This window comes from Homo sapiens, chromosome 7, assembly GCF_000001405.40.
Source record: "Homo sapiens chromosome 7, GRCh38.p14 Primary Assembly".
NCBI lineage: Eukaryota > Metazoa > Chordata > Mammalia > Primates > Hominidae > Homo > Homo sapiens.
In genome coordinates, this window is record NC_000007.14 from 2,104,073 (window position 1) to 2,130,091 (window position 26,019).

General features: G+C 58.6%; 1 protein-coding gene and 1 long non-coding RNA gene across 6 annotated transcripts in view, besides 10 other annotated features; one reads left to right on the forward strand and one right to left on the reverse strand.

The window, feature by feature from the left end:
* Positions 1 to 26,019, reverse strand: part of MAD1L1 (mitotic arrest deficient 1 like 1) — a 417,151-nt gene that overhangs the window by 288,278 nt on the left and 102,854 nt on the right. The window lies entirely within an intron of this gene.
* Positions 202 to 496: an enhancer, noted in NCBI's record as "tiled region #12408; HepG2 Activating DNase unmatched - State 12:CtcfO, and K562 Activating DNase matched - State 5:Enh". NCBI's record gives its function as "activates a minimal TATA promoter and a strong SV40 promoter by Sharpr-MPRA in HepG2 and K562 cells {active_cell/tissue: HepG2 | K562}" and the evidence as "EXISTENCE:reporter gene assay evidence [ECO:0000049][PMID:27701403]".
* Positions 1,316 to 1,983: an enhancer, noted in NCBI's record as "H3K27ac-H3K4me1 hESC enhancer chr7:2145023-2145690 (GRCh37/hg19 assembly coordinates)". NCBI's record gives its function as "activates a minimal SCP1, AML or CMV promoter by ChIP-STARR-seq in naive H9 embryonic stem cells {active_cell/tissue: H9 hESC(naive)}" and the evidence as "EXISTENCE:reporter gene assay evidence [ECO:0000049][PMID:30033119]".
* Positions 5,445 to 6,349: an enhancer, noted in NCBI's record as "H3K4me1 hESC enhancer chr7:2149152-2150056 (GRCh37/hg19 assembly coordinates)". NCBI's record gives its function as "activates a minimal SCP1, AML or CMV promoter by ChIP-STARR-seq in primed H9 embryonic stem cells {active_cell/tissue: H9 hESC(primed)}" and the evidence as "EXISTENCE:reporter gene assay evidence [ECO:0000049][PMID:30033119]".
* Positions 5,445 to 7,066: a biological region, named in NCBI's record as "CDK7 strongly-dependent group 2 enhancer GRCh37_chr7:2149574-2150773".
* Positions 5,867 to 7,066: an enhancer, noted in NCBI's record as "CDK7 strongly-dependent group 2 enhancer chr7:2149574-2150773 (GRCh37/hg19 assembly coordinates)". NCBI's record gives its function as "activates an origin of replication core promoter dependent on BRD2, BRD4, P300/CBP, MED14 and CDK7 cofactors, with strong dependence on CDK7, by STARR-seq in HCT116 cells {active_cell/tissue: HCT116}" and the evidence as "EXISTENCE:reporter gene assay evidence [ECO:0000049][PMID:35650434]".
* Positions 6,062 to 6,231: an enhancer, noted in NCBI's record as "active region_25507". NCBI's record gives its function as "activates an Ori minimal core promoter by ATAC-STARR-seq in GM12878 lymphoblastoid cells {active_cell/tissue: GM12878}" and the evidence as "EXISTENCE:reporter gene assay evidence [ECO:0000049][PMID:35858748]".
* LOC105375127 (uncharacterized) lies at positions 6,508 to 13,668 on the forward strand. Its single transcript, XR_001745063.2, has 2 exons — positions 6,508 to 12,443; positions 12,588 to 13,668. It is a non-coding gene; the product is annotated as an uncharacterized LOC105375127 (long non-coding RNA).
* Positions 19,619 to 20,119: an enhancer, noted in NCBI's record as "H3K4me1 hESC enhancer chr7:2163326-2163826 (GRCh37/hg19 assembly coordinates)". NCBI's record gives its function as "activates a minimal SCP1, AML or CMV promoter by ChIP-STARR-seq in naive and primed H9 embryonic stem cells {active_cell/tissue: H9 hESC(naive and primed)}" and the evidence as "EXISTENCE:reporter gene assay evidence [ECO:0000049][PMID:30033119]".
* Positions 24,075 to 24,673: an enhancer, noted in NCBI's record as "H3K4me1 hESC enhancer chr7:2167782-2168380 (GRCh37/hg19 assembly coordinates)". NCBI's record gives its function as "activates a minimal SCP1, AML or CMV promoter by ChIP-STARR-seq in naive H9 embryonic stem cells {active_cell/tissue: H9 hESC(naive)}" and the evidence as "EXISTENCE:reporter gene assay evidence [ECO:0000049][PMID:30033119]".
* Positions 24,674 to 25,271: an enhancer, noted in NCBI's record as "H3K4me1 hESC enhancer chr7:2168381-2168978 (GRCh37/hg19 assembly coordinates)". NCBI's record gives its function as "activates a minimal SCP1, AML or CMV promoter by ChIP-STARR-seq in naive H9 embryonic stem cells {active_cell/tissue: H9 hESC(naive)}" and the evidence as "EXISTENCE:reporter gene assay evidence [ECO:0000049][PMID:30033119]".
* Positions 25,272 to 25,869: an enhancer, noted in NCBI's record as "H3K4me1 hESC enhancer chr7:2168979-2169576 (GRCh37/hg19 assembly coordinates)". NCBI's record gives its function as "activates a minimal SCP1, AML or CMV promoter by ChIP-STARR-seq in naive H9 embryonic stem cells {active_cell/tissue: H9 hESC(naive)}" and the evidence as "EXISTENCE:reporter gene assay evidence [ECO:0000049][PMID:30033119]".

Sequence of the window (26,019 nt, forward strand, 5' to 3'; positions counted from 1 at the left end):
CTCCGGGCCAACTGCACAACAGGCCATATCTGTTATTAAAGGCATGCTGCTTTGATGACCAGAAACCTGGATTAGAACCACGGCAGGCTGGGCCTCCATTTGGGGAACCAGGACAAAGGCAGAGCAGATAGCGGCAAACTCCTCCACAGAGGCAAGCCCGGAGTCCCCTGTGCACTGGCGGAGGCTGCTCAGCCCGAGTGGCACTGCACAGGCTCCTGAAGGCAGATGAGGCCCCGGAGAGAAAACACAGGAAGACAGCCCCCACAGCCCCGCCCCTCCGCGAAGGAGAGCCGTCACGGCGGCGCAATAGCAGGCCAAGGGGGACGCAGTCTGGCATGTGGAGGCGGCCTGTTGCGTCAGATCCCTGACCCGCATGTCAAACACGCTGGTGCCTACAGGGGGCGGCTGCGGCACCTGGACACTCGGAACACGCGCTCTGCCACCAGAGACAGGCTGGGCTCAAATGAGAAGGAATGAAATGCCAGCAACTACAGATCTTCCACGAAAGCTCCCCTTAAGCCAGCTCTTCGGTTTAAATGAATTTACTCCTCGTTAAATTCTTAACCTGAAAACATAACTGTTTTATACTTACATGCCTCATTGTGACATCCCTAACGCCTTTGAAAACATAACTGTTTTATACTTACATGCCTCATTGTGACATCCCTAACGCCTTTGCCATGAAAGACCTCACTGCCAAATCCCACTTTAATTATCTGAGCACAGGTCACATAAATCACTGCAGCTCCCACGCCAGGCCGTGCACAGCCATGTGGGCTCAGCCTGCAGCTGCCTCTCCTTCCAACGTGCAATGCAGGGTAGGTCCCCCCGCAAGCCCTGGGGACTCTTTCCGGAGCTCAGGGAAGGAAACCGCTCACCTCCTAAATGTTAAAACACGAAGGGAACTACGCACAGCCCGCCTGGAGATGGGATTCCTGGCACAGCCTGAGGGCTGACCCACCCAGTCAGAGCCCGGCTTCCCCAGGGGCCGGACACCGCAGTGAGGGGCTGTTCTGAAAAGAGGTCTGCCGGGAAGAAACTGGCTGTGCCTCTGCAGCCCGGGAGAGCCTCACTCTCTGAGGCCACAAACACCGCACCGTCCTGCTTGGGGATATTCCAGTGAGCAGAAAGGGAAGGTCTCTGCCGACAAGGGGTTGGTTACTAACAAAGGGCACTAACACACGAGCTGGCTTCAGGTGGTCACAGCCTGAAAGGCAACAAAGCCAGCAGCGAGGTGGAGTGAGGGGGCCCAGCTAAGAGCAGGGGAGGAAGGCCACTCAGGGCAGAACAGGCCGCAGAAACCGCAGTGCCCTACGGGGCGGTCTCTGCTGGCCTGGCAGCAGCAGGCAGAGCAAAGCGTGGGCTCCACGGGAGGGTGGGCGGGCACAGCCTGCGCTGGGGCAAGGCAGGGAGCGTGGATCATCACCCGAGGCATTCATAAAGGACAACCCAAATGTCTGCTTTGTGGCTGCTCCTACACTGCCCTGAAGCCAGGAAGTAACGAGGCCAGGAAGCCCTGGGACCAGCCATGCAGCCTTGCCAAGGCCAGCCACGCACTGTGAAGGTTCTGAGGGAAAATGGGGCCTCTCTCACCACAGCCCTGCTTTACCTGGTGGCCTCGGCCTGTCTCCTCACCCCCGCACGGTCCAGTAAGAGACCACCTTCCAGATGAGACCAGAAAGTCCAGGCACGTGAGACGCCCAGCCAAAACCCCAGTACCACCAGCTCCAGCTCTCTCCTCCTCAACGCTCCTCACCCACCCCGCTCCCCAGCTCCAGGGTAGGGCAGCAGGAAAGGCCCCCATCGTCACAGATGCCACCTAGCAACACCTTCTGGAGCACAGTCCCAGAGCCCTATCCAGCTGCGGCCCCACAACCAAAGGGCACCAACACCTCAGCCCTGCCCCTGCCCCTGCCCCACATATGGCCCCGCCCCTGCCCCACACATGGCCCCGCCCCTCCATTCTGCCCAGCACGAAGCCCCACCCCCCAGACCTATCTATCACACACAGCGCCAGCCATCACACAGCCCCGCCCCTCCACCCTGCCCAGCACACAGTCCCGCCTCCCACCCCCAGCACAGGGCCCTTGCCCCATTACGCCTAGGCTAGGAATTGGGCCCTTAGTGCTGGCACATCGGCAGCACCCCTCCACTGCGTCGGTGCCTTGCGTGAAAGGTGCGAGCACGGCAGGCCGCTTCTCTATCGGATCCACATGTCCATCCCTGGAGACGGCCATGGTCACTCACACTCCCCACTTCCCAGGCCCGGCCCCACCCTGCCCTTCCTTCTCTATCGGATATACATGCCCATCCCTGGAGACGGCCATGGTCACTCACTCTCCCCCTTTCCCAGGCCCGGCCCCACCCTGCCCTTCCCACATGCGCTCCTGGAAACCTGTGCCAAGCCAGCAGGCTCTCCGAGGCTCCCTCTCCAACCCTGCCTAACACCAAGGAGGACACGTGAGCTCCACTCTCCCAGGGGTGGGGGGAGAAGGCAGGCCAGGGGCACAAATCCCTCCTAGGAGACCGCCTCCCTCCTCTCCAGCCCACCAGACCCAGGCTAGCATAGCCCGTCACACTCTCGGCCCATCCCGCAAAAGACGCCTGCAGCTGCACTGGAACGTGTTGTCCCGCATGGGCTGTAGGGCCTCCACGAAACCTGAGAGAGGAAAGTCACCATTCAGTCCCTTCTGCAGGGCTGCCCCTCCCCAGCTGTCATGAGTCCATGCTGCAGCCGGCTCTCTCAGCTGGGAGCCAGTCACCCTTCAGCCCCCAGGAGGACTCGTGATGGAGACCCTCCTGGCCCTGGCTGAGAGACAGCTGAGTGCAGACCTGGGCAGGGGCCCGGGGGTCCAGAACGCAGCTGGCCCAGTCCCCTAGAGGAGCGTAGTCTAGTGTGAAAGAGCCAGGAGGCTCCTGACGCCGTGTGTTCTCACAGGGCCCGGCCCCACAGCCTGGCTCCCAAGGACAGGAAGGGCACCCACATACAGCATCACTCAGCACCTGGCTGCCTGGGACAGCCGGAGGGCCTGAGGATGGCAGCGCACCGGGAGGCGTGGAAGGAGGCAGGGCCAACATCCCTAGCAACACAGAGGAGTCGCAAGCACCTTCCCTGCAGGCGGTAAGCCAGGAGTGTGTGGGGCGGGACAGTCAGAGTTGGTGAGGTCTCGCTGCCGGAGCATCCGGTGGCAGGAAGCCCAGTCCAGAGGCTGCAGCCCAAGCCACAGCAGCCCTGGGGCAGAGGGGGCTGGCCCTCGAGGATTATGTGGTCACTGCAGGGTGGTCTTTGCCACCCCACCACCTCCCCCTGAACTACCCACAGCCTCTTCGCTGGACCCCTGCATCCTCACGCACCGACACACTTCCTGCTCCCCATCCCGAAGGCCTCTTTCTCCAGGTCGCTCTTCCGACTGTGTGAGGTAACCATGCCACTGCCGCGCTTCCAGTCTTCAACAGCTGCCCGCTGCAATCATGCTGTGATCCCCGCACTGTGCCAGCCCTGCTGGCGTCCCAGCAGCTCGTCTGTCCCGCTTGGTCACCCCTGCCCAGCCCCCGGCTGCCCTCAGGCCTCTGCTCAGATGCTGCCTCCTGGTAAGGCCCTGCCTGGCCCCCAGTGACGTCTTTCCCACCCTGTCATTCCACAACACCCAAAGCATTTCCTTCACAGTGCTTTCAATAATTTCAACGCACTTCCTATGTTTCAAAACATTAGAGGGTATTTGAGGGTCGGAGATGGTAAATGCTTGGACACAGTGATGGGTGAAAATGGTTTCTCAGCTGCCACCCAGACCTGCAAGGGCACCCATGGGGATGGTGCCTGGCACATGTCGCTGGACTGTGTCCCGGGCTGTGACACCATAGCTCTCCACAGAAGAGTCCAGGCAGGGGACAGGAGACACCGGCACCCCCCCACCCCCCACCAACAGGATGCTCAGTGGGGACATGAAACCCATCCAGGTGCTCGGAAAACACCTGTTTTAAAACTTGCTGACCAAAAACCCCAAAATGGATCATTTTTAAATACAAGGAGCACTAAAGATTTTCATTATGTACGATAACATTCCCATCAGAAGAGAACAAACTTGGGGGCTGTAGCAAATGAATTCCGGTGGGATTCATGTCCGCTGATCACTATTCAGGCCCCACCTCATTATCATAGCAGGCTTAATTGGCATTTCATCCCCACATTGTGTCTCACAAACGAACAAGGTGTAATTATGGTAAAAAGAGCGCTCCGACGGTTTTGGTTTAATTCATGTCATTCATCCGCGTCAGAATCAGCACAGATGTTCTACTGGAGGACAGAGAGGAAGATGAGTGGCTTTCAAATTATACTTTTTTAGTTTAAAACTTTATTTAAAATAAAAAGTTATTTAAGTAAAATTTACAACACAGTGTTTTTCTCCCTTTGTTTTACTTGCTATAGGGCATTAACTTTCAAAGGCTGGTTCTGCTTAATTTGATTTTTCATTTTCAAATGAACATCTGTGTTTAGGTCTAAAAAGCTCTTTGTTTAAACATACAGAGCCCCAGAAAGGGTCTGAACAAAGCCTTCCTCTGTAAACACTTGATTACCAGGAAGGCTTTTCACAGGGAGCCAGGGGTTGGCAGAGGGGGTTTCACTCTGGCTTTCTCTCTAAGGTCAGTAGAAACTTTCATCTCCTTTCAGAATGGGAGAAACAAAGGCAGCAGCCCTGGGGAAACGGCTCAGCCTCGAGCTCCTTCTGAGCTAGGGACGCGGCAGGAGCGGCTGTCAGAAATGGGCCCAGGTGGCCTCCAGGAGCCGGCCCGATCCACGATCAGTTCCATCCCTTCTTCACTGGCACATCTCTGAGGCAGCTCCTGGGGAAGTGCAGGGCCCCCGCGAGGGCTCGCAGGAAGAGCACGGGACAGACCAAACAGGCGCTACCAAGTATGGGTTCCAGACCCCCACCCGGCCATTCCAGACGCCTCCCTGTGCTGCGCACACAGCCTCCCCGCACCCGCTCTGCAGCTCAGAGCTGCTCACCCTCAGCTCTGGGTCCTCCGCACCCACTTCGGATTCCCATCAGAGGACAGGCCCTGCCTGTGGGCCCATCACCATCCCATCTCCCACCTAGACGGAAAACCCGAGCTCTGCTCCTCCTGAAATGAGGCCAGCCCTCTGGTGTCAATTACATGCAACTTCCCCGGGCCTCGGCTTCTTCTTCAGGCCACATGGATAGTCCCTGCCTTAAGCAGCCCATGAGAGCACTGGAGGCGCACACACAATCAGGTGACGAGAAGCGGCTGCAGCAGCCGCAGGGAACACGGCAACACAGGAGCCGAACCCGGCACAGCGGGAGCCCCACGCCCGCCAACCCCAGGAGGACACTCAAGAGTGGGGCCCCAAGGACTCTGTCATTTCAACTCACTTCCTATGTTTGTAAACGTCAGAACTCATAGCAGGGAGGTGTGCGGCCTCAGGATCCCAGCAACAGCCCCCAACAGCCTCGAGATGCTCTGGCGTGTCAGCTTTAGGGACTACATCAGAAGACTTCCCCACAATCCAAGATTGTCAAGAGCTGGTTAACGTAGGAAGTTTAGCAAGAGCTCACTGCGGCTGCGTGGGTCTAAATAGTTTTAAACACTTCTGTGTTTTTATAGCATTATATTTAGAAACCTCTAAATAAAACTCATGGCGAGTGTTGCAATAATATACATTTTTTAAACTAATTGAATGTTGCCATTACAAGTGCTATTTTGGACAATCTGCTAAATATGTAATTTAGGAATTAAGATTCATATCTTACAGGATACGCTAATTATTCCTTTGAATCCGTTTGGGTACTTTCTGAACACACACAAGAAGTCTGAGAGTTGGCGACAATATCCACCCTTCTCCACAGCGCAGAGGTCAGGCCACTAGTAAGGGCACAAGCGTGGGCTCAGCACAGTTGTGAGAGTGCAGACCCAGCTGCGCAGGCCGGAGGTGGCCATGAGGCCCACGCCTTTCCAGTCCAGGAGGCTCCGGCTCAAAGCAGCGGGAAGTTCAGTTTATTAAACCACAGCCGATTTTCCTAAGGCTCCCCTCCACTGATCTCACACACGTTATCAAAATGACACAGATGTCCAGATGGCAGCACCTCGAAGATTCTTGAAGCCTCCTCCTGTGACTTCAATGACACAGATGTCCAGATGGCAGCACCGCAAAGATTCTTGAAGCCTCCTTCTGTGGCTGGACTGTGCGCTCACAGCCGTGCCGCCATGCCCCACGCCTCGGTACACAGCAGGCACAACCAAGCGAGCAGCTGCCCGGCTGCTCCTGTTCCCTTGGCGCCTCGAGGTCCCGGCTCAGAAGCCACGCCCAAAGCGGAAATCAGACCCCGCAGGGCTGTGACTCGCACAGACACCTCCTCTCCTGTGAAGCATCTACTTCTATTAATACAGCCTGAGACAGAGTTCACTTCTTCTGAAGTCACAACCCAACAGTGATTCGCTCTGACTCACACTGGCAGTGGAGAAAACTCTGGAGTGACTCAGACGTGCGGCAGATGAAGGCCTCCTTCCCATCCTCAACACAGCCAAGTCATTTTGGGTCTCAAGTGTCTCCCTTTTGTCCCAAATCAAATTTTTCTTGCTGAAGAGCCATCATTTCAGACTATTAAGATGCTTTCAGATCTGTGACGGGCTTCACCAATTAATAAAAGCTACTTCTATACCGATACTCACCGCCTGCCCCCAGTGCGGTCCGAGCAGGGAATTCCATGGTGCACGCCCATAAGAAGCGCTTTCTGCATCTCACAGGACAACAGCCGTCTGCGCTCAGACCCCACCATCTCCCTCAAACACAGTTTCCCAGCAGAGCCGAGGAGATGACGGCGCGGGCAAACCCTTCCTGTCCAAACAAAGCTCACTACATCCCTGGCTTGCTCTGCTCTCACCCCATCCCTCCCTCGAGTCCTGTACACAAGTGAGGGGAGGAAGAACGGATCAGGAAGCAGCAGGGTACAAAGAGCAGAAGAGAGCTTCGGTCTCAAGTCCACAGGGCACGCTGCGGCCAAGTCCTCCGACGAAAAGTAAATTAAAGACAAGAGGAACAAAGAAGAAACAGGGAGAGAGGAGGAGCACACACACCGAGCGTCCACTGTGCCCGCCCCTCGCTCCCCCCACACCATGCGGTCTGTGTGATCGTCCCACAGATGAAGACTAGAGGGGCTCGGGAAGCCAGGCCTCAGAGCCCGCAGGCGCCTCCATGCACCCCTCCACCTCTGCACGCTGGCTGCCCAGCCCCCAGTCCCAGGCGTGGAAGCCTCCCAGGCGGCAAGGAGCTTTCGAGACCGTGGCTGCTCAGCCCTTGCTCTCTGCTCTAGTCAAGGAGCGTGCCTCGGAATGAATGAGGTACAGTCTTTCCCTAAAGTCACCGGAGAACAGAGATCAATGAAAAAGGAGGAAGGGAGGAAAGACAAAAGACTTGAGAGGAAGCAAAACGAAACCAGCTTAGATTTGATCCCGATACGTGGGAAATCAGGTGGGGAAAAGGGGCTACAACTCCATGATGACCACAAGTCCAGAGGGCTGTGCAAGCCAACACGGCTGGGGGCTGCAGAAAGCACCACAGCAACTGTCTGACGCCAGGTTGGGGCCAGCAGCCGCACGCTGGAAAACGCAACACACAGCCCACACAGCCCTGTGGGGGCAGCTAAGCCCAAAACCCTGGCGTGGCCCAGCAGGAGCAGGCCTGTGCGGAGTGGACCTGCACACACAGCAAACGCACACACCGCGAACGCACACACCGGATGCTTCCCGCTGTGGAGACCCACAAGGCAATGTCTTCTGAAGTTAAAAGGATGCCAGGATCCAGCAGTCCCACTCCTAAGTATGTGCTCAAGGAAAAGTAAGAGTTTAGATCATACAAAGCCAACATTTCCAGCAGCTTTACTCCATTTCACCAAACCCAGAAACAATACAGATGTCCTTCAACCAGTGAACGAATAAACAAGTCCCAGAGCAGCCGTGCCTGGAGCATCACTCAGCAACGAAAAGCAGCGCTGCGATTCACACAGCCACGCGGTGAGTCCCAAATGCACCTCCATGAGCCAAAGATGCCATATTTGTATGACGTTCTGGAAAAGGCAAAATCACCAGACAGAAAGCATGCTGGGGTGGCCAGGGAGGGGAGTCTGGGGTGGTGGGGCCGCAAGTCAGCCCCAGGCATGTGAAAATGCGCAGCTGCACAGCAGAAGGGCAAATGAGGCTGTATAGACAGTTTTTTTTAATCAACCAGAATGAAAAAGACTCAAAATGAAACACCAGCTCTAAGCGGTAAACCTAAGGGAACCACAAACAAAGAACACAACACCAGGCAGTGGGAAACACAACGGCACCCACGGTGCTGAGAAAACGCCACTTCCACTGGGAACGGTAGGCCAAGGACAGAACGGCCTGTCCACAGACACTGCACCCTCGCAAGTCAACCTCTCCTCACAGAGCCATGGATTAGCAATTCCAGAAAGACCCTGTGCGCACGTGAGGACTGGATGGGTAAGTAAAACATGGTGTGTGCTGACACCTGGGCTTCTCAAGACCAAGGAGACAGCACAGGAGGCGAGGACAGCCCAGGGGTGCTGGATGGAGCCAGTGTCAGGGTGTCCACCGAGGGGCCCTGGGGCCCTGACACACCCGGAGCAGGCAGCACCCCACACCCACATCTCATCTCTAAGCAGCACTCGGCAACAAGAGGAAACAGGGCTCACTGGGAAAGTGGCGGACTGCAGGAAAAGGGCAGGAAAAACATCTAAGTTTAGAGCATCCTGCAGTGCCAGATAGTTTGAAAAAAAAAAAAGGCTTTAAAAAAAGATGAGGGCAAATCACAGGGCACGAGAGCCCAACTGTGAGAGCTCCCAGTGACCAAGGCTGAAATACCGTGAATGAACCGAATCCGCAGAGCACTGGGTCACGGCCGTGAAGTAAAACAGAGAAGGAAGCAACTGACACAAATAACCTACTCGACGAGGGGCAGAGCCTCCCTCAGCAAAGCGTCCCACTCAGGAAACGGGGACGAGGGGCAGAGCCTCCCTCAGCAAAGCGTCCCACTCAGGAAACGGGGACGAGGGGCAGAGCCTCCCTCAGCAAAGCGTCCCACTCAGGAAACACGGAAGAGACGGGCGGACAGAAAACCGCCCTGGGGCCATGGTGACAAGCCCCGCAGCTGAGATGCACCAATAGATGCTTGAACTAGGAGGAGAAGTTTTTGTAAGAAATGGGGGCTGGGCACGGTGGCTCACAGCTGTAATCCCAGCGCTTTGGGAGGCTGAGGTGGGTGGATCACCTGAGGTCAGGAGTTCAAGACCAGCCCGACTAACATGGCGAAACCCCCTCTCTACTAAAAATACAAAAATTAGCCAGGCGTGGTGGCAGGCGCCTGTGGTCCCAGCTACTTGGGAGGCCGAGGCAGGAGAATTGCTTGAATTCGGGAAGCAGAGGTTGCAGTGAGCCAAGATTACACCACTGCACTCCAGCCTGGGCAACAGAGCGAGACTCTATCTCAAAAAAATAAAATAAAATAAATAGGATATTTGCATATTCTCAAAGCATCTTCCCCAAGATACTTATTATCAGAACAAAAGCCGCAGCCATGCATTTAGGGAGGCCTTCGCCAGGTGACCGGAGTGACCACACCCGCAACAGAACATGGTGATGTCGCACACCCCGACATCACACACCCAGAGGGACATGACATCCCTTTTAAGATTTTCTGTCCAAAAATGCATAGCTTCAACCTAATCATGTATAACATCAGACTCGCTCCAACTGAGGAACATCCACAAAACACCAGCCCGTGCTCTCGAAGAGGCGGGGTCACGACGACAGGAGAGACCGAGGAGCAGATTCTCTCCTGTCCCAGAGTGCAGGGCAGGACAGGGCCACCAAACGCCATGGGGATCCCAGGCCAGATCCTGGCACAGAAAAAGGAGCTCAGTGGGAGAGCCGGCAAGACCTGAACGCAGTCAGGACCCGCGCCTGCTGCACCCAGGCCTTACAGCTTCTGATAACTGTACACGGGCTCACAAGACGTTACCCTCGGGAAAGCTGGCGGAGGGTGCGTCGAAACATTCTCCACGACTTCTGCAACTTTCCTGTCAGTGTAACATTATGTCAAAATGAAAAGTTCCCAGAAGAACATGCCAGACACATGAGAAAGACAAAAGGGCAAATGGCCGGATGGTAATGACTCATCCCAAAGGCCATCTCAACACACCTCGGGCGGGAGAGCCCTGAGCCAGCCCACGGTCTGAGCAGGGAACCAGGGGGCCTTCCCTACACAGAGCACAGCTCCCACCCTGCAGCACCGCCCAGCCGGGGCCAACACCAGAGGACGCCATCCTCCTTAAGGCCACAAAGTGTATGGTCCTAGGGCATCTTTCCTGAAAGAGACAATTGCGAGAAATGAAAGCCTGGCTGCCGGGATCAATCTTGCGGGTCACCTCCCTGCAGCAAGGCCCAAGCCGACGTCACGTGGCAGAAGGATCTTCATGAAGATGAGCATGGCTACGACTTGAACGGTGGTTTCTTAACAGGGTCCAACAACTACAGCCTGTGGCCAAATCCCACCCACAGCCTGTTTTTGTAAACAACTTTTGTTTTTTTAACAAAGTTTTGATGGAGCACAGCCACCCAGAATCAAATACGAATCGCCGCTGCCGCTCTCACAGCACGATGGCAGAGTTCAGCGTCTTCGACAGAGACCACCTGCCCGGCAAACCCCAAAGAGTCCGTTCTGGCCCTTCACACAAGACACTTGTCAGACCCATCTTTTGAGGCCCACAGGTAGTTCTGGGATCTCGGTAAGAATCTGCTTTGCAAACACAAGGGCCTCGAAGCCCCGCCTTCCGGTGAGCACCGCTGCAGCAGCAGGGAACCTTCCGGAAGAATCTGTTCCCAGGGTAGAAACAGTGACGGGCCAGTGCAGCAGAGAAGAGCAGAGCGCCTGGGAGACCTGCATCAGAGCCCGAACAGCTGGAGGCGCCAGCTCAGTCTGTATCCCCGCCCCGCGACCCAAGGCTCCCCCAGAAGCCGGGGCCCACCACTGGCACACTGCGGAAGCACTCCCGCAGGAGGACATGAGGCCACGTTCACACCACGGGGCGCTGGCTCAGGACCCTTCCCAGCAATTCCCGCATGTTCCGGGGTCAGAGGAGGCGCTGGACAGGGTCCCCACGTGTTCCAGGGTCAGAGGAGGCGCTGGACAGGGTCCCCGCGTGTTCCGGGGTCAGAGGAGGCTGGACAGGGTCCCCACGTGTTCCGGGGTCAGAGGAGGCACTGGACAGGGTCCCCGCGTGTTCCGGGGTCAGAGGAGGCGGTGGACAGGGTCCCCACGTGTTCTGGGGTCAGAGGAGGTGCTGGACAGGGTCCCCGCGTGTTCCGGGGTCAGAGGAGGCTGGACAGGGTCCCCACGTGTTCCGGGGTCAGAGGAGGCGCTGGACAGGGTCCCCGCATGTTCCGGGGTCAGAGGAGGCGCTGGACAGGGTCCCCGTGTGTTCCGGGATCAGAGGAGGCGCTGGACAGGGTCCCCGCGTGTTCCCCGGTCACAGGAGGCTGGATAGAGGCTCCACATGGCGTGTCAATGCCGGGCCTGTGGACACTCAGTCTGCATGGTTCCCGCATGGCCACATCCAGGGAAGCCACGGCCCTGCCCCCAAGGTCAGGACTATTCCTGGCCAAACAGAAGGACCTGCCGCGCATGACCTGCATGGAGCGCTCGGAGCAGAGGGAACGCACTGAGGTGCTGCCATCAGGAGGGGAACGGTGGCGGGCCCTGCGGGAAGAAGCTCTCAGAGCAGGGCGGGCTGTCCCACTTCCCCTTCCTCCTGCCCCAGGCCCACACCCTCTCCTGCCAGCACCCCACCACCTAAACACAGAATGCGGCTGCGCTGCCGGAGACGGTGGAGGGGGGATAAGGCTCAGTGGGAATGGGGCCCAGCCCCACTGCCCACCACTTAACCACACTCCCTAACCCGAATATCCCTCTGTTTCCTCAACACTAAATAAGGGCCAAGGTGACCACAGAAAAAGCTGAAGGGCGTGAGCAGGACCTCACTGTCCACACTGACGTGTTGGCTGCTGCTCCCAGTGGCCCCAGCTCCAGGATCCTCTTGTGCCCCTTCCCAGCACAGAAGGGAGCGAGAGCCAGGCCCAGGGAGCGGAGTGCGTGGGTGCAGCTGGAGGGCAGGCGGCTGTGTGTGTGCCAAGTGCCGGGAGGACGAACAAGACTCAGGCCTGACTCATCTCATATTCCTGAAGCACCTAAAGTGGGCTGCACACAGCAGGTGTTGAACAAACGCTTCCTGAACGGGAGCGACAAGGAGCCTCTGTCCTCTAAGAGACAAGAGCCTTGCCAGGGAGGACTGGGGAGCCCCCAGAGAGCCAGCGCAGACGATGAATGCCAGGGCAGGGAAACCGAGGTGTCCCCAGCAAGACCCCAGGTGGGCAGGGCCTGGATAAGGCAGGTACCCACACGTGGCAGGCCAGAGGGTTGGGGGGGGGGGGGGCTCCTGTGTGTACACAGGGCTGCAGGAGGTGGCGGTCAGCGGAAAAGCAGTAACAGGCCATGTGTCATACTGTTGCAGGGGGCCCAGGTCCATCGGACTGGAGCAGAAAAACCAGAGAAGAAGCCTGAGGAAGAAGCAGGACAGGCCACCAGACCCAACGGGGAGGAAGGCGTCTGGATGTCCCAGAGTTAGTGAGAGGGCCTTAGCCAAGGAGGCAGGCACATCACCAAGTACGAGGTGGTCTGCACCCTGCCTCTGCAGGCCTGGGCGGTGCTGCACAAAGTCCCAGGAGATCCTGAAGTGTGCCCTTGGTAAAGAGGACAGTGGAGACAAAGAAGTATTTGCAATGAACAAGTGAAGGCCCACAGCAAACACCCAGCATGGCACAGCACTGGGCACCACCCGAAGACAAGGAAACCCGACCTTGGGGAGCTCCCAATGCAGCAGGAGAGGGATCCAGGCTCTAACGCTGGGAACACAGCCTTTTCTAGAGATAGGCCTGGCAGAGGCAGCCAGGCAGGCAGCCAAAGCGGGCAGGAAAGACCAGAAGCAGCTAAGAGTCTCCTGCAACATCCACGTTCCCCAGGCCCCTCCTTCCTGAACAGTCTAGCGGGCCCTGGGGGCCACCGTCAGGGAGGAGCAAGGCTCTGCAGGGAAGCTGCACCCCATTCCCAAGGGCACCTTCCCAAGCCAAGTCAACCCCTGTGCAAACTAACAGGCAGTCCAGCTCCACAAGCACTGCTGGTGCGGACGGCACAGAGGCTGGGAGAAACCCACAAACAGAGGCCACCCACATGGTCGTGGTCTCTACAGACAGGCAGCTGCCCATTCACAAGGAGGAGGCATGATATGATATGGTCTGACTGTGTCCCCACCCAAATCTCATCTGAAACTGTAGTTTCCATAATGCCCACATGTCATGGGAGGTGAGTGAATCACAGGGGCAGTTACCCCCATACTGCTGCTCACGTGATAGTGAGCTCTCGAGAGAGGTGACTGTTTTATAAGGGACTTTTCCCCCTTTTGCTCGGCACTTCTCCTTCCTGTCACCATGTAAAGAAGGACGTGTTTGCTTCCCCTTCCACTATGATTGTCATTTTCCTGAGGCCTCCCCAGCCATGATAAACTGTGAGTTAATTAAACCTTTTTCCTTTATAAATCACCGAGTCTCGGGTATGTCTTCACTAGCACTGTGAGAGTGAACTAACACAGGGGTAAGAGAAGAGAGAAGCCCTGCCAGGGAGAGGACAGCAGCAGGAAGCACCCAACCATGAAGTGTGTGTATCCACAGGGCCCCACTGGCCTTTGGCGCAAAGCAACTCACTTGTATCCACAAACATCCCAACAACTGCCAGACACTCAGCATCCCTGGCCCCAGTCCCTTGCACAGCAATGGCCCCTCAAGTACACCCCCAAATGTTCCCTAGTGTCCCTCAGCATGGGGCAGGACAGGAGAGGATCAGGCCACCCAACTGCCCTAGGAGGCTCCAGCCCATCAGGCCAGCTCAGTGCCCCTTACCCACCCTCCACCCTGTGCACCCGACACTCATCCCAAGCCGCCAGCCGGCCACTCCTGACCACAATGCCGGACGCTGTGCTGCCAGGGGTGCCACTCAGCCACAGCCTGTCAGACCCTCCACTGGAGTGGATGGGGCAGCATCCAGGGCACAGTGCCAGCCCTGCTCTGGGGGCTCCTCTGCAGAACGGGGCCTGAGCCTGACACACGCAGGACGTGGTTGGCGGTCACAGATCTACACGGCACACTGTGCAGGTGAACCCTCCCTCCTGACCAGCAGGACCTCCCCCTGTGCTGCCATCAGGCTCCCAGAAGCAGGAGGTCAGCCCTGAGTGGTGTGTCAGAGCCACGGGAGCTTGGCCGTGTGGGCGCGGTGAGCACACAGGGGTCTGCCCAGCATCCGTAGTGCGTGGCATGAACGCGGCAAGATACACACTACTCAACACACTGGGCCAGCATTTTCTCCCCAGCAAGCACTATCAAGGCTGTTGTTGGTGACAGGCCCTCGATGTCCAAGTTCCCTGGGGCAGGTGACGGAAGTGAAGGAACAGGGCCGTCCCTCCCAGCCCCTGCCCACATACTGCTGCCCACACACTGCCTCCATGGCAGGTTCATGCCGCCAAGGAGCAGGCTCGGCTCACAGTCTTCCTTCCGGATAAGGGGCTACCACCAGCTAAGCACATCCCTCCAAAAGCCACGTCATATCTCACAGGCATTTCACAGGTGACGTGAGGCACGCGCAGACACGTCCCTAGCATTCCACAGCCGTCTGGGTCACAGCCTGCTCTCAGAGGAGAAGCCACCCCGCGATTGTGCCTCCCGTCTCTCTCCTTGACCTGCAGTGCAGACCTGGAGCTGAGACGTCCTCCATCAAGGCCAAAAGCTCCACACGCCCAGCTGCCTGGGCTCGCCCCAGCCTCCAGCCCCACGTGACGGTCTGCCTCCCAGACCCCTGCGCGGACAAGCAGGAGCGGCTGGGCTCGAGCTCCAGGGCTTCAGGGTGACTGCTGCCCGGTGCTCTTGGTGAAGCCGTGTTTCCACAAAGCAAGAAGGTTCAGGCCAGGCAGCCTGGACTCCTGCTGTGTTTCATCTACTGTGACATTTCTCCTGTCCCAGTGCCCTCCTCTCCCTCTCCATTATCCCCCCAAAACAAGTGACCAAAGGAGTGCCCCGCCCCTGGTTCACAGACATGAGAAGCTCCCAGGCCATGGCTCTCCGCAGCGCCTTCCCTATCGCATCTCCATCACCCACCCTTTCTGACAGTGGCCCACATGGTTTAGGACGGGGTGAGAGTCCTCCATCTCCCACCCAGATGCGATGAGCAGGAGCTGTCGTGGGGCGCACACTCTCTGTAGCTGGCCAAAGCTGGACGACGCCACAAGAGCAGCTCTTTACATCCTCCTGGCCCTGTGCAAGTTGACCCCAGGCAGCTCTCAGGTCCCGACTGTGGGGACAGCACGTGCCCGAGCTCTGACCCACATGCAGACATCAGAGGCCTCCAAGCCCTTGACTTAGTGGCAGGTGGGCTACAGCTGCAGGACAGAGGGCTGGAGCTCTGGAGGGTAACCTGTGCTGAGTGACAATGCACCCCGAAACCCAGAGTGCTCCTGAGGAGGGAGAGCCTGCCAGTCCAGCAGGGGACCCCTCAGCACAGTCCTGGCTGCACCCATACAGCTCACACAGATGGCAGCCACACACGTCCCACGACAACTGTTCCAGACCCCTAGGCTCTTTCCTGCTGGCTCCTCGCTGGGGTCCAGGACTCTGATCTGGGATCTCCCCTCCTTCCAAGCATCCAACCAGGAGCTCCTTATTCCCTGAAAGCCGCCCTCAGCATCCTCCTCACTCCACCTCCTCCCAGCATGCGCCCAAGGCATCCCTAGCAATGCCCCAGGTGGAGGAGCCCCAGTTCATGCTCTCCATCCTCAGATCAGGCCCTCCAGCTCTCCCTGGGGACCAGGTGGCACCTGCCTTTTCACTCCTCCAAATGAAGTGGAGCCTCCTGCAGTCCCACGCCCCACACTGGGTCTATGGTAAGGCCACCTCCCCCTCTCTTGGCCCTCTCCACCTGCTGGCTTTGCCCAACACAGTCTCCCTTCCCCAGTTGCCTGTCCTTCAGGACCATTCCTTACAGACTGGCTGCGGCGTGTGCTTACCCCAACAGCCCCGCCTGTATGTTACAGCAAATGGCACCTCCTAAAGTCTGACCCAGCTCAACACCCGCCACCACTTCCTCCCAGCTGATAACGAAGGCTGCGCTGCAGCAGCCTCTGCCTCCACAGCCAGCACCACCTTCTGAGAAAGCCTAGGACTGGCCGCCACACCCTGGAGAGCCTGGGGGCGCAGCCTTGGGGTCACCACCCTGCAATCTGCACGGCTTCCAGAGCCTGGCACAGGGAGGAGGCACTCGCAGTGCAGGAACCAAGCGGAAGCCCCACACCCAGGGCGCTGCCTTCTGCCAGACTCCCCGTGCCCCCACGGGTCTGACTCTTGCCCACCCCACCCAGAGGCTTCCTCAGAGCCAGGAACTGTGTCTTCTGTTGCTCTGTTTCCCCAACAACACAAAACCAAGGCGTTTCAGAAACATAATAATTATCTGAGAGTATCACTTCGAGAGAGACTTGTAAACAAGAGTATATGCCAAGAAAGACAGGGGGTGCGGGACAGGAGGCGGGAGGCAGCCTGCGAGCCCCCATGGGAGGAACTCGGGGGACAGCAGGGCCTCAGGAGCTGCTTCCGTTTCCAAGGCTGCAGGCAGGGATCAGAAAAGGATCCCAACAGGCTGGTGTGGCCTCCAGGGCGGGGCGAGGAAGGTCTTCACCCCTGCACCTGCTCTAGGGCAGGCGCAGACCTGACGTGGGGAGGCCCAGCAAGGAAGACAGGCGGCTGCCATCACAGCACAGGTGGACTCGAGGGAGATGGGCCCAAGTGGAGTCGCACGGTGACGGCAGGGCTCCTGCAGAGGCACACCAGCCCCAGCCGCAAGGACACTCCCGGCGCAGGCTCCCAGGGCAGGCGCCCCGCCACAGCATTCACCAGGACGAGCTGGACCAGGTGGCTCTGGGGCCCTTCCCGCCTGAGGCCTCACGATCTGAGTCTCCACTCACTGGTGAGCCCCATTTCCATGTGAGGTGTAGGCGCTGGGTGCTGCCAAGAGGACAAGCCCAGATGCGGCTCCTCCGCCTCTCCCAACCTCTGTTCAGCGTCAGAGCGAGGCTCTGCACCAGGCCCCCAGCACCTGCCAGGCACCGTGGGGACAGGCAGGGATGAGGGAGGCTGCGGATACGCCACACACACTCGGTCCAGCTGGAGCCTCCCGGGCAGTGGCAGGCACGACCTCACAGCCCCCACGGGAGGGTCGTTAACAGAGTCCCGGTGGCCAGAGGTGTACCACCAGGCAGGTGCTCACTGACACTGTCCCCATGGGTCAGGCTTCATTAGAAACCACAGACCTCAGAATAACAGGCCTCTGGGCTCCTGGGAGGGAGTGGGGCAGGACTATGCTGCAGATCACGGCATCCTGGAAATGTTGCCAGCAGGAGGCCGCTTGGGCCCAGAGCCAAGGTGGCCAAACTCAGCCTCCAGCACTAGAGCCTGGGGGCCAGGAGTCCTCGAGGGTTGGGTGGGGAGGGAAAGGTCACACCTTTCTACGAGCCTGATGATGTCCCACCTCCCTCGCAGGCCTGTGAGGTCTGTCTCACTGTCCCTCCAGACGGTGAGGTGTGTCTGCCTCGCTCTCCACCCTCTCCAGCACCGGGCAGGGGCTGGCACAGCAGGAACACAGACCCGTGCAGCAGCCAGATGTGGGGACACGTGGACACCTGAGGGACCGGCAAAGGCGCACAGAAGGGCTAGAGAGCCAAGACGCACCAAGACACTGGGGAAAAGACCCTGGGTGTTAAAAGTAGCTTCTGGGGTGGGGAGGGGGAGACTGGAGGGACAGAGGAACTCTTGGGAAAAGGCCTTGAGTTTTAAAAGTGTCTTCCTGGCTTGTCTGGAGGGACAAGCAGAACTGCCACTGTCTCATGTCATCCACAGAAAAGCCATCACCAAGAGAGGTCGGAGCAGTGGCCACCCCGCATGTGGCCAGAGGGCTGGGACAGAGGAAACCCGCGGGGGCTGGAGAAATGCTCAGACTGCCCGCGTCAGACCTGTCCACCTCGTGTGCCTTGCCTAATCTCATACCTCAAAGTGTCTTAAAATATTATCTAGCACCTTGATAACTGTTACTTAAAACAGCCAATCCCTGGCTGGGTGCAGTGGTTCACGCTTGTAATCCTAAAAGTTTAGTAGGCCGAGGCAGGCAGATCACCTGAGGTTGGGAGTTCGAGACCAGCCTAACACGGACAAACCCCGTTACTACTAAAAATACAAAATCAGCCAGGTCCCAGCTACTCGGGAGGCTGAGGCAGGGGAATCACTTGAACCCGGGAGGCGGAGGTTGCCATGAGCCAAAATCAGGCCACTTCACTCCAGCCTGGGCGACAGAGCGAGACTCTGTTTCAAAAAAAAAAACAGCCAATCACCAGGTCCCAGAATCACAAACCAGGGAGTTGACGCTGGCCTGCTCCAGGCAGGTGAGACTCAGGCAGGAAGGATGCAGCCTTGGTCCAAGCAGCTGGCAAGTCAGCCCCAGTGCCAGAGCCACGACTGCCACCTGTGCAGGTGCACGGGTGAAGGGTTGCTAAAGCTCACCCCCAGGCGCAGCTGGGAAGTCAAGGCGCAGGATCTGTCCAGAGCTGCACATGTGCAGGCCATGGCGTCAGTGTGGGTGGTGACGGCCGCCGTCCACCCAGCGCCCCTCCCAGGTGAGCTTCCCCGTCACCGTCTGCCCATCCTGCCCTGGTAGAGAAGTGTATTATCAAGGCGACCGGTACCTCACCTGCCTCCCTTCTGCTGAGTCTGGCTTAAAAAGCAGCAGGGGAGCCGGGCGCAGTGGCTCACACCTGTAATCCCAGCACTTTGGGAGGCCAAGGCAGGTGGATCACGAGGTCAGGAGATTGAGACCATCCTGGCTAATGTGGTGAAACCCCATCTCTACTAAAAATACAACAAATTAGCCAGGCGTGGTGGTGGGCGCCTGTAGTCTCAGCTACTCGGGAGGCTGAGAGGCAGGAGAATGGCATGAACCCGGAAAGCGGAGCTTGCAGTGAGCCGAGATCGGGCCACTGCTCTCCAGCCTGGGCGACAGAGCGAGACTCCATCTCAAAAAAAAAAAAAAAAGCAGCAGGGGAGCTCAGCCAGCTCAGGGACTGAGATGAAACTGCACGCTACAGCTTGGAGACATTGCGGGAGGGCTCCCAGCAAGCGAAACTGGGCTGGGGTGCAGGACGGAGAGAGGGCGCTGGTGAGGCCCTGGTCCTGTGTGTGAGGGCGGCTGACACCCGGTGGGCTCTGTTTGCGCTTGAGCTGGTGACGGTAGGGTTTCCTTCCCTGTCAAGCAGGAGAGCACCCCAGTCCACCCAGGGAGCACCCAGGAGGAGCCAGCCCCGCCAAGGGCACGCATGGGAGGCGTCAATCCGCTGGAGGGCAGCAGCCCTCAAGCGAGGACTCACGGGGACATGCGATACCAGGAAGCGAGTCGGAGGCAATTAAGCCTGTTTCAGAGTGCACTTCGCAGGCGGCGCTGAATCGATAGATCCTCCGGCGGCGTGGTGCTGCAGGTGAGGAATCAGTCAGGTAAATGCCTCCCAATCTGTTCCTGCTGTGCAAAGAATCAGCGCTGTTTACCACTCAAGCCAGAAATAAATAAATAAAGCTGCCAATTAGCCAGCGCCCTTTTCCGCTCTGGCAAGGGCTTTTTAGCTTCTCCAAATACACCAGAGTCCTGCAAGGCTGCACACAAGCAAAGGCAGCCCAGGCAGCAAGGGGCGGGGGCTTAGGCCCCGGGGGCAAGAACTCTGCTTCCTGGGAAGCCCCCTGTAGCCAGGTCAGGCTCCTCCTCTAGACGGGGAAGCCGGGCAAACACCTCCAGGAGCAAGGCGAAGGCTCTCAGTACCCCCAGTACAGATGCAGCCGGGAGCCCCCAGCTCTCCACAGGTCAGAGGCCACGCCACGCCCCTGCTCAACTCGCAGAGCAGCAAGGCAGGAGGGGCAGGCCATCGGGCAGCGGTGCAGGACCCACAAGGGTCGAGACATGGAGAGGAGGCAAGCCCACCCAGACAGGCCTCTTCCAAGACTCCAGGGGCACGAGGGCTCCAAAGACCCTCGCCCAGGAGCAAAACGCACAGACACGGGGGTGTGGAACTACCACGGGGCGTGGAACTGATTTGGGAAGAGCCCAACGTGCCGAAAGGAAGAGCAGGCTCCCCCAGGACAGAGAGTAAGAAGACCTGGGAGATGAGTGGGCAGAAGGCCTGCCTGCTACCAGGGCTAGTGAGGAAACAGCTGCACCCACAGCCTGAGGGGACAGCCGGCCTGCATGTGGCCCACCCCAGCCAACAGAGGCAGACTGCCCAGGGGTGCAGTGAGGGCAGGATGGCTAGGAAGACTCTGGCAGAGAGGAGGTCACGAAGCCCCCGCTCTGAGCTCGGCAAGGAGCGTATGGGGCTCCACGCCTCCCCAGGGGCAGACCTGCTGGGTTCTCACACACCCCGGGAGGGCCAGGCCCACCCTGCCCCACCCTCCTCTGGGTCAGGAGACAGCCATTCCACCTGGGTGCCCGGCGCTTGTGGGAGAAACTCTGAATTCAGGAGCCTTGCTCAGTGCCAAGCACGGTGACATCACATACAACAGAGGCACCTCCGGGTGAAGGAGGACGCAGGGGCTCGGCCAGTGATGCCAGCGGGCCTCCCTGGAGCTTGAGAAGGGTGCAGGAGCTGCAGGCGGCCTTCCAGCCCCAGGGCAGGAGACACCAGTGAGCACGGAGGACACACATGGGCATGGCTGAGGGCACAGGGATGCAGGTGGTTCCTGCTCTGCATCCCGGGCCCCTTCCCTGCTGGGCTCCCGGCCCACACTAAGGATCCGGTCCTCACAGCGACCCCAGGAAGTCCCTGCTGTCAGGGCTGCACTTTACAGACACAGGACCTGCCACAGAAAGGTTGCGTCAGACCCCGGGTCATGCAGCCCACAGTGGCACAGCAGCAGCAGGGCAAGTCACCGCCACTGTTGCCAGGTGCACTCCAGCAGGTCCTGGACCCAAGGGTGGGGGCGGCGCCACGAGGCAGGTGCTGACAAGGTGGGTGGGGGTGGTGCCCCTTCTGATGACTGGACAGATGCCCAGGTGGGGACAAAGAGGACACAAGCAGCAGCCCTGAGCCGAGCCACCCACGCATCCTTCCTCCTCATGCTGGCCCCATGTGTCCCCCGGGCGACAGCTCAAAACAATGGGTAGTGATGTCTCCGCAGCCTGGTGAGCGAGCTCCACCGTACACTCAGGATGAGACTGTAACAGGGCATCTGAGATATCCTTTGAATATTTACGAGTTCTCATCTGCCCAGGTGAGCGAGGGCCTGCTGTGGCAAACCCAATTCTAGCTACAACCCCCACCAGGTGAGGCAGCACCTCACCGGCAGGAGGCTGGCTCGAGGTTTCTGACGACTCCAAACAGGGCAGTGAGCCACTGGCCCTCTCACCCAGAGGCAGGCGCCCAGACACCAAGCAGCACGAGTGCTCCAGAAACTGCAGCTCAGACTGAGCTCCCACCTCCAGCTAAGGGCTTCCTGGGGTCATTTACCACAGCTCTGAAAAATAAACTGAGGAGACAATATCAAGAGAGACTCCTGACATTTGTCCCGCTTTAAAATCAGGAGAACGGACTACCTGAAAGTCAGCTTACGCGTCTGTTTTAAGCGTTGAGCCAGCACTGGCATCTGAGGAAGCAGCCAGTTGGCCCCTGGGCCTCCTCACGTTTACAGCGCCACAGGTGAGAAAGTGAGTGGGGCCAGGCGGCCTCCTGGAGAGGGGTCATCTTCCATGGGCTGCTTTCCACAGGTGGGGCTGCAGCCCGGGGCGCTGGAGCAGTGGACTCGGGGACAGACCCAGGCTTCGGTCCTCACTGCCACTTCCTGCCAGGCGGCCCTCCTGTGAAGCGAGGGATGGCACCTCTGCCATATGGCCTAGGTTCCTGCAAAGACCGGGCAGGATGAAGGAGAGCGTCTCGGGAGCCGAGAGCAGACACAGGCAAGGCTCAGTGCGCGGCCCATGGACGGGGGACGCCCACAGAGTGCAACCCTCGGAGGGCCCCAGGTTGAAGACTCCACCTAGAAGGGGATGGTAACAAGGGCAGCTTCGAATTCCATTTTCAATAAACACACAGGCACTCGGGCATGCACAGAAAGGGCAGAACCCCAGGGCAGCAGATGTGGACCAGACCACTGGAGGCCCCCAGCCTGGACCCCAGGAGCCTGGAGGTCCTGTGCACAGCTGCGGAGCTATCTTCCCCCCTCAGGCCTGGGGGGCAGCGGGGACACCTGACCTGACAGCCCAGGCCAGGCACAATGATTGTGCACCATATGGCCACTAAGAATCGACACAGGCCGATGCCGCCAGCCTTCCTTGGGACCAAGCACAACCCAGGCCCAGCCCAGCTCTGAAAGGCAGTGTGAGGAGGCCCAGGAGCATCTCTGGGGACCGGCCTCTTCTGTCACTCAGAGTTTTTAAACATGCAGCTTAGTAGGTTCCTTCTGCAAGGAAGCAGAGTGACCGCTGGGCAGCTTTACACCTGTCGTCAACCCTGCAGTGAGCCACGAGCCTCCGCCAGGCAGGTGCTCACTGACACTGTCCCCATGGGTCGGGCTTCATTAGAAACCACAGACCTCAGAATGAATAACCCCCTCTCACACTGCCAGGCAAATCAGCTGATCAGCAATGCTTCTATGTATCCAGTAGGGCATTTTAAACAACGGCAGATTACAACTGAGAACCTGGGATAAAGCCAGCGGGCCAAGTCAGGTGTGAGTTCAGTCACGAAGCACATCCGAGGCCTCGTTCCCAGGGAAGAACAGAGCAGACGCGGGTGGGATGAAGACATCTGAACACTCTCCTGGAGGGGGCCTCTCAGTGACCCCACTTTGGGGACAGTCTTCCACAGTGCTGGCCTGACCCGCTTGTTCCAGAAGAGAGGTGCTCAGGGCTGGCATGAGCCCACGGGCCTTTGCTAGTCATGGGAGTGCCACAGAGAAGACGTCCCCGCCCTCCCCTACTTATGACAAGGGGGAGATGGACGAAAATCTGAAGTGATCAGAGGGGCACAAAGGAGCGGCAACTCACCCAGCCCCAGCAAGACACAGGAGGCTGTAGAGTGGGGCCCCTGATGGAGCACCCAAGGGGCAAGGAGAGGGCAGCAGGGACAGCCCAGCACACTTGCTCCAGAGGGGATTCTCCTGAGGGCAATGGACACACAGCCTCTTGGGAAGCTGCTTCGTGCTGTGCCACGGAGGAGCAGCTGCACACGGGGGAGCGGGCCCGACCACACCGACCGGTAGGAAAGACCAAGGTCCAGACGTCAGGAACCTGGTGTAGGTGGGCAATGAGGGAGCAGAAACGACCTGGGGTCTAGGGTGGGGAAAAAAGGCAAGAGAGGAGGAGACCCACAGGAACCCACCTGCAGAGAGGAGCGGACCCACAGGAACCCACCTGCGGAGAGGAGGAACCCGCAGGAACCCACCTGCAATTACAATCTCACGCCCACCAAAGACCCCTGCACTCCGGGAAACGTGCAAGAGCAGCCGGCACTGTGGGCGTCAGGGGAGCAGACGCCTGCTAGGAATGAGAAAGCCTAGGGTGGAGTTGCTGGGGCCTCAGAACCCCACTACCCACGCAGGCACGCAGCTGGCAATGGCCCCAGAGCCGGTCTGAACTGACTCCGACCAGCGGCTGTGACCTCAAGCAAGAGACTTCTGCTCGCACCTGAGAGATTAAGACAGTGTCCACCTCTCGGAACTTCATGATGAGAACAAATGGATGAAAGGCCCTGACACTGAGAGACATTCGATAAATAAAACGCTTTTTAAATCACAGTCGTCGGTTACAACTCATCAACTCGGGCTCTGGTCCGGCCTCATCCCCTGTTGAGGAGCTGCTGACGCCCTCCCAGATTATTTCTAAATTAACATGGTTCTCATGAAGCCGGACAATTGTCCTGGTTTGCATACATTCTTTAGAGTTCTCTGGTCCCAGACTAATTATTCTGCATTTTCTGTCACTGAATCGCATTTGTCATCAGCAGCTCAGCCACCTCTCATCTCCCAAACAGCACTACTGAAACCTGGCAGGGCCATCCATGCCTAGAGTCCCCGAAATGCAGCCCTGGTGCCAGAAAGAGAGGGCGGAGGAGGCCAGACCACCGTGAAAGACCTAGGCAGTTCAGAGTTCATGAAACACTCGCTCATCAGCACGGGAGTCACAAAAAGCACAGAACACGAACAGGAAGGCTGCTTCTGGAAGATGGCCGTTCAGGAGAGGCCAGGTGACCTGCCCTGCCTGAGGGAAGGCCCTGACGGGAGTCCCTACACCCAGAGGCCTCGCAAAGGGCACAGGCACGCCACCAGAGGCTGTGTAACATGGAAGGATGAGCGGCAAAGCAGAAAACACGATGTGTCTGCAAGAGGGCTGAAGGCTCAGCTGGGGCCTTGGCCATTGCAGGGATCCTGGCGGGGACACAGAGGGGCTGAAACCGGCTCCCTCTGCCCTTCTCACCCTGGGGACAGGACAGGTGGCTGCTGGGACCTGCCCTCAGAAGGTTCATTCGGCCACCCTCAAGCCCGTCAGGCCACACCACGCCTCCCCAGGAGCACAAGGCCCCATCTTCAGCTCACACTGCAGTCTCTCTGCTCCCACACCTTCAGGCTTCCCACGCGGCAGTCAGGCACACGGACCACAGGGAGGAGGAGAAAAGCCAGAGGGGGACACAGACCTTCCCAAGGCTTCAGGGCATCTGGACCTTGAGGAGATGGGGAGTGCTGCTGGCGCTGACCAACTGGGCAGAGTGGAGGTGGTGCACGACCCCACCACGAGGACAAAATTGGGTTTGTGGGCAGGCAGCTCTCTGATCGGAAATTCCTTCCAGTCCCAGAGCCAGCTGGAAGGGGCAGGGACCGGGCAGGCGCATTCCATGAGGGGCCCGCAGGATCCCGGGGGAGCTGGGGCCACCAGGGCTAACCCACCGCCAGGCAGCTCACATGTGCAGCAGGCCAACACCAGGCAGGCCAGGGGGCAGGGAGGGAGTGAAAGAACAAGACGCCTGGAAGAGGGAAAGCCCAGGTTTTTGCCTGTGGACATCTGAATGTGCTGTGGCAGGTATAGAAGAGTAAAAGGTCTGTCTCCGCGGGACTGTGAATGTGGACAGGCACGAGCAGGCCAAGCCACCCAGCAGGCTCACGGCGGCTCCTGTCCACACGGCTCCTGCTAGGCAGCGCCCCTCCTGCCGTGGGTCTGAATCCGTCACCTGCCAGTGACGAGGACGCGAGGAACACGCGCTTCTCAGAGTCCAGTCACACACGAGGCAGCAGGACAGGAACCCCAGGTGCCTCCCGTCATGAGGAGAGAGCACACACACGATCCCATCCCTCTGGAGGCTGCCTGTCTAACAAAGATGGTCTCCCTGACGAGAGCAAGGTGGCAAGACAGACACAGCTGGACACGCAGGCTCGAGCTTCTGCCCAGAGATCAGAAAAACAAATGCAGTTATTTTTACACGCATGTCAGAGACAGTCCAAGGAGTGCTCTCTGCACCCCAGGCTCGAGCCAACGGCCTCCCCCAGGATCCTGTCTACACACAAGGAAGGTGCACAACACAGCCACCACCGTCGGAGGGGCACACAGGCAGGCAGCTGGGTCAGCAGGTGCAGACGGACTCATGGTTCCCATGGCACCCGCTGCCAGGAAGCTCCCAACCAGTCCAAAAAGCTGTCCTTCTGGGGCCCAGCAGAAGGGTGAAGAAAACACTACCCAACAGAGGGGCAGGGATGGGGTTAAAAGCACCTGGGCAGGCAGACAGACTCCAGCACCAAGTGGGTGCAGGAAATGCCACCTGGCTGCCCCGATGCGCC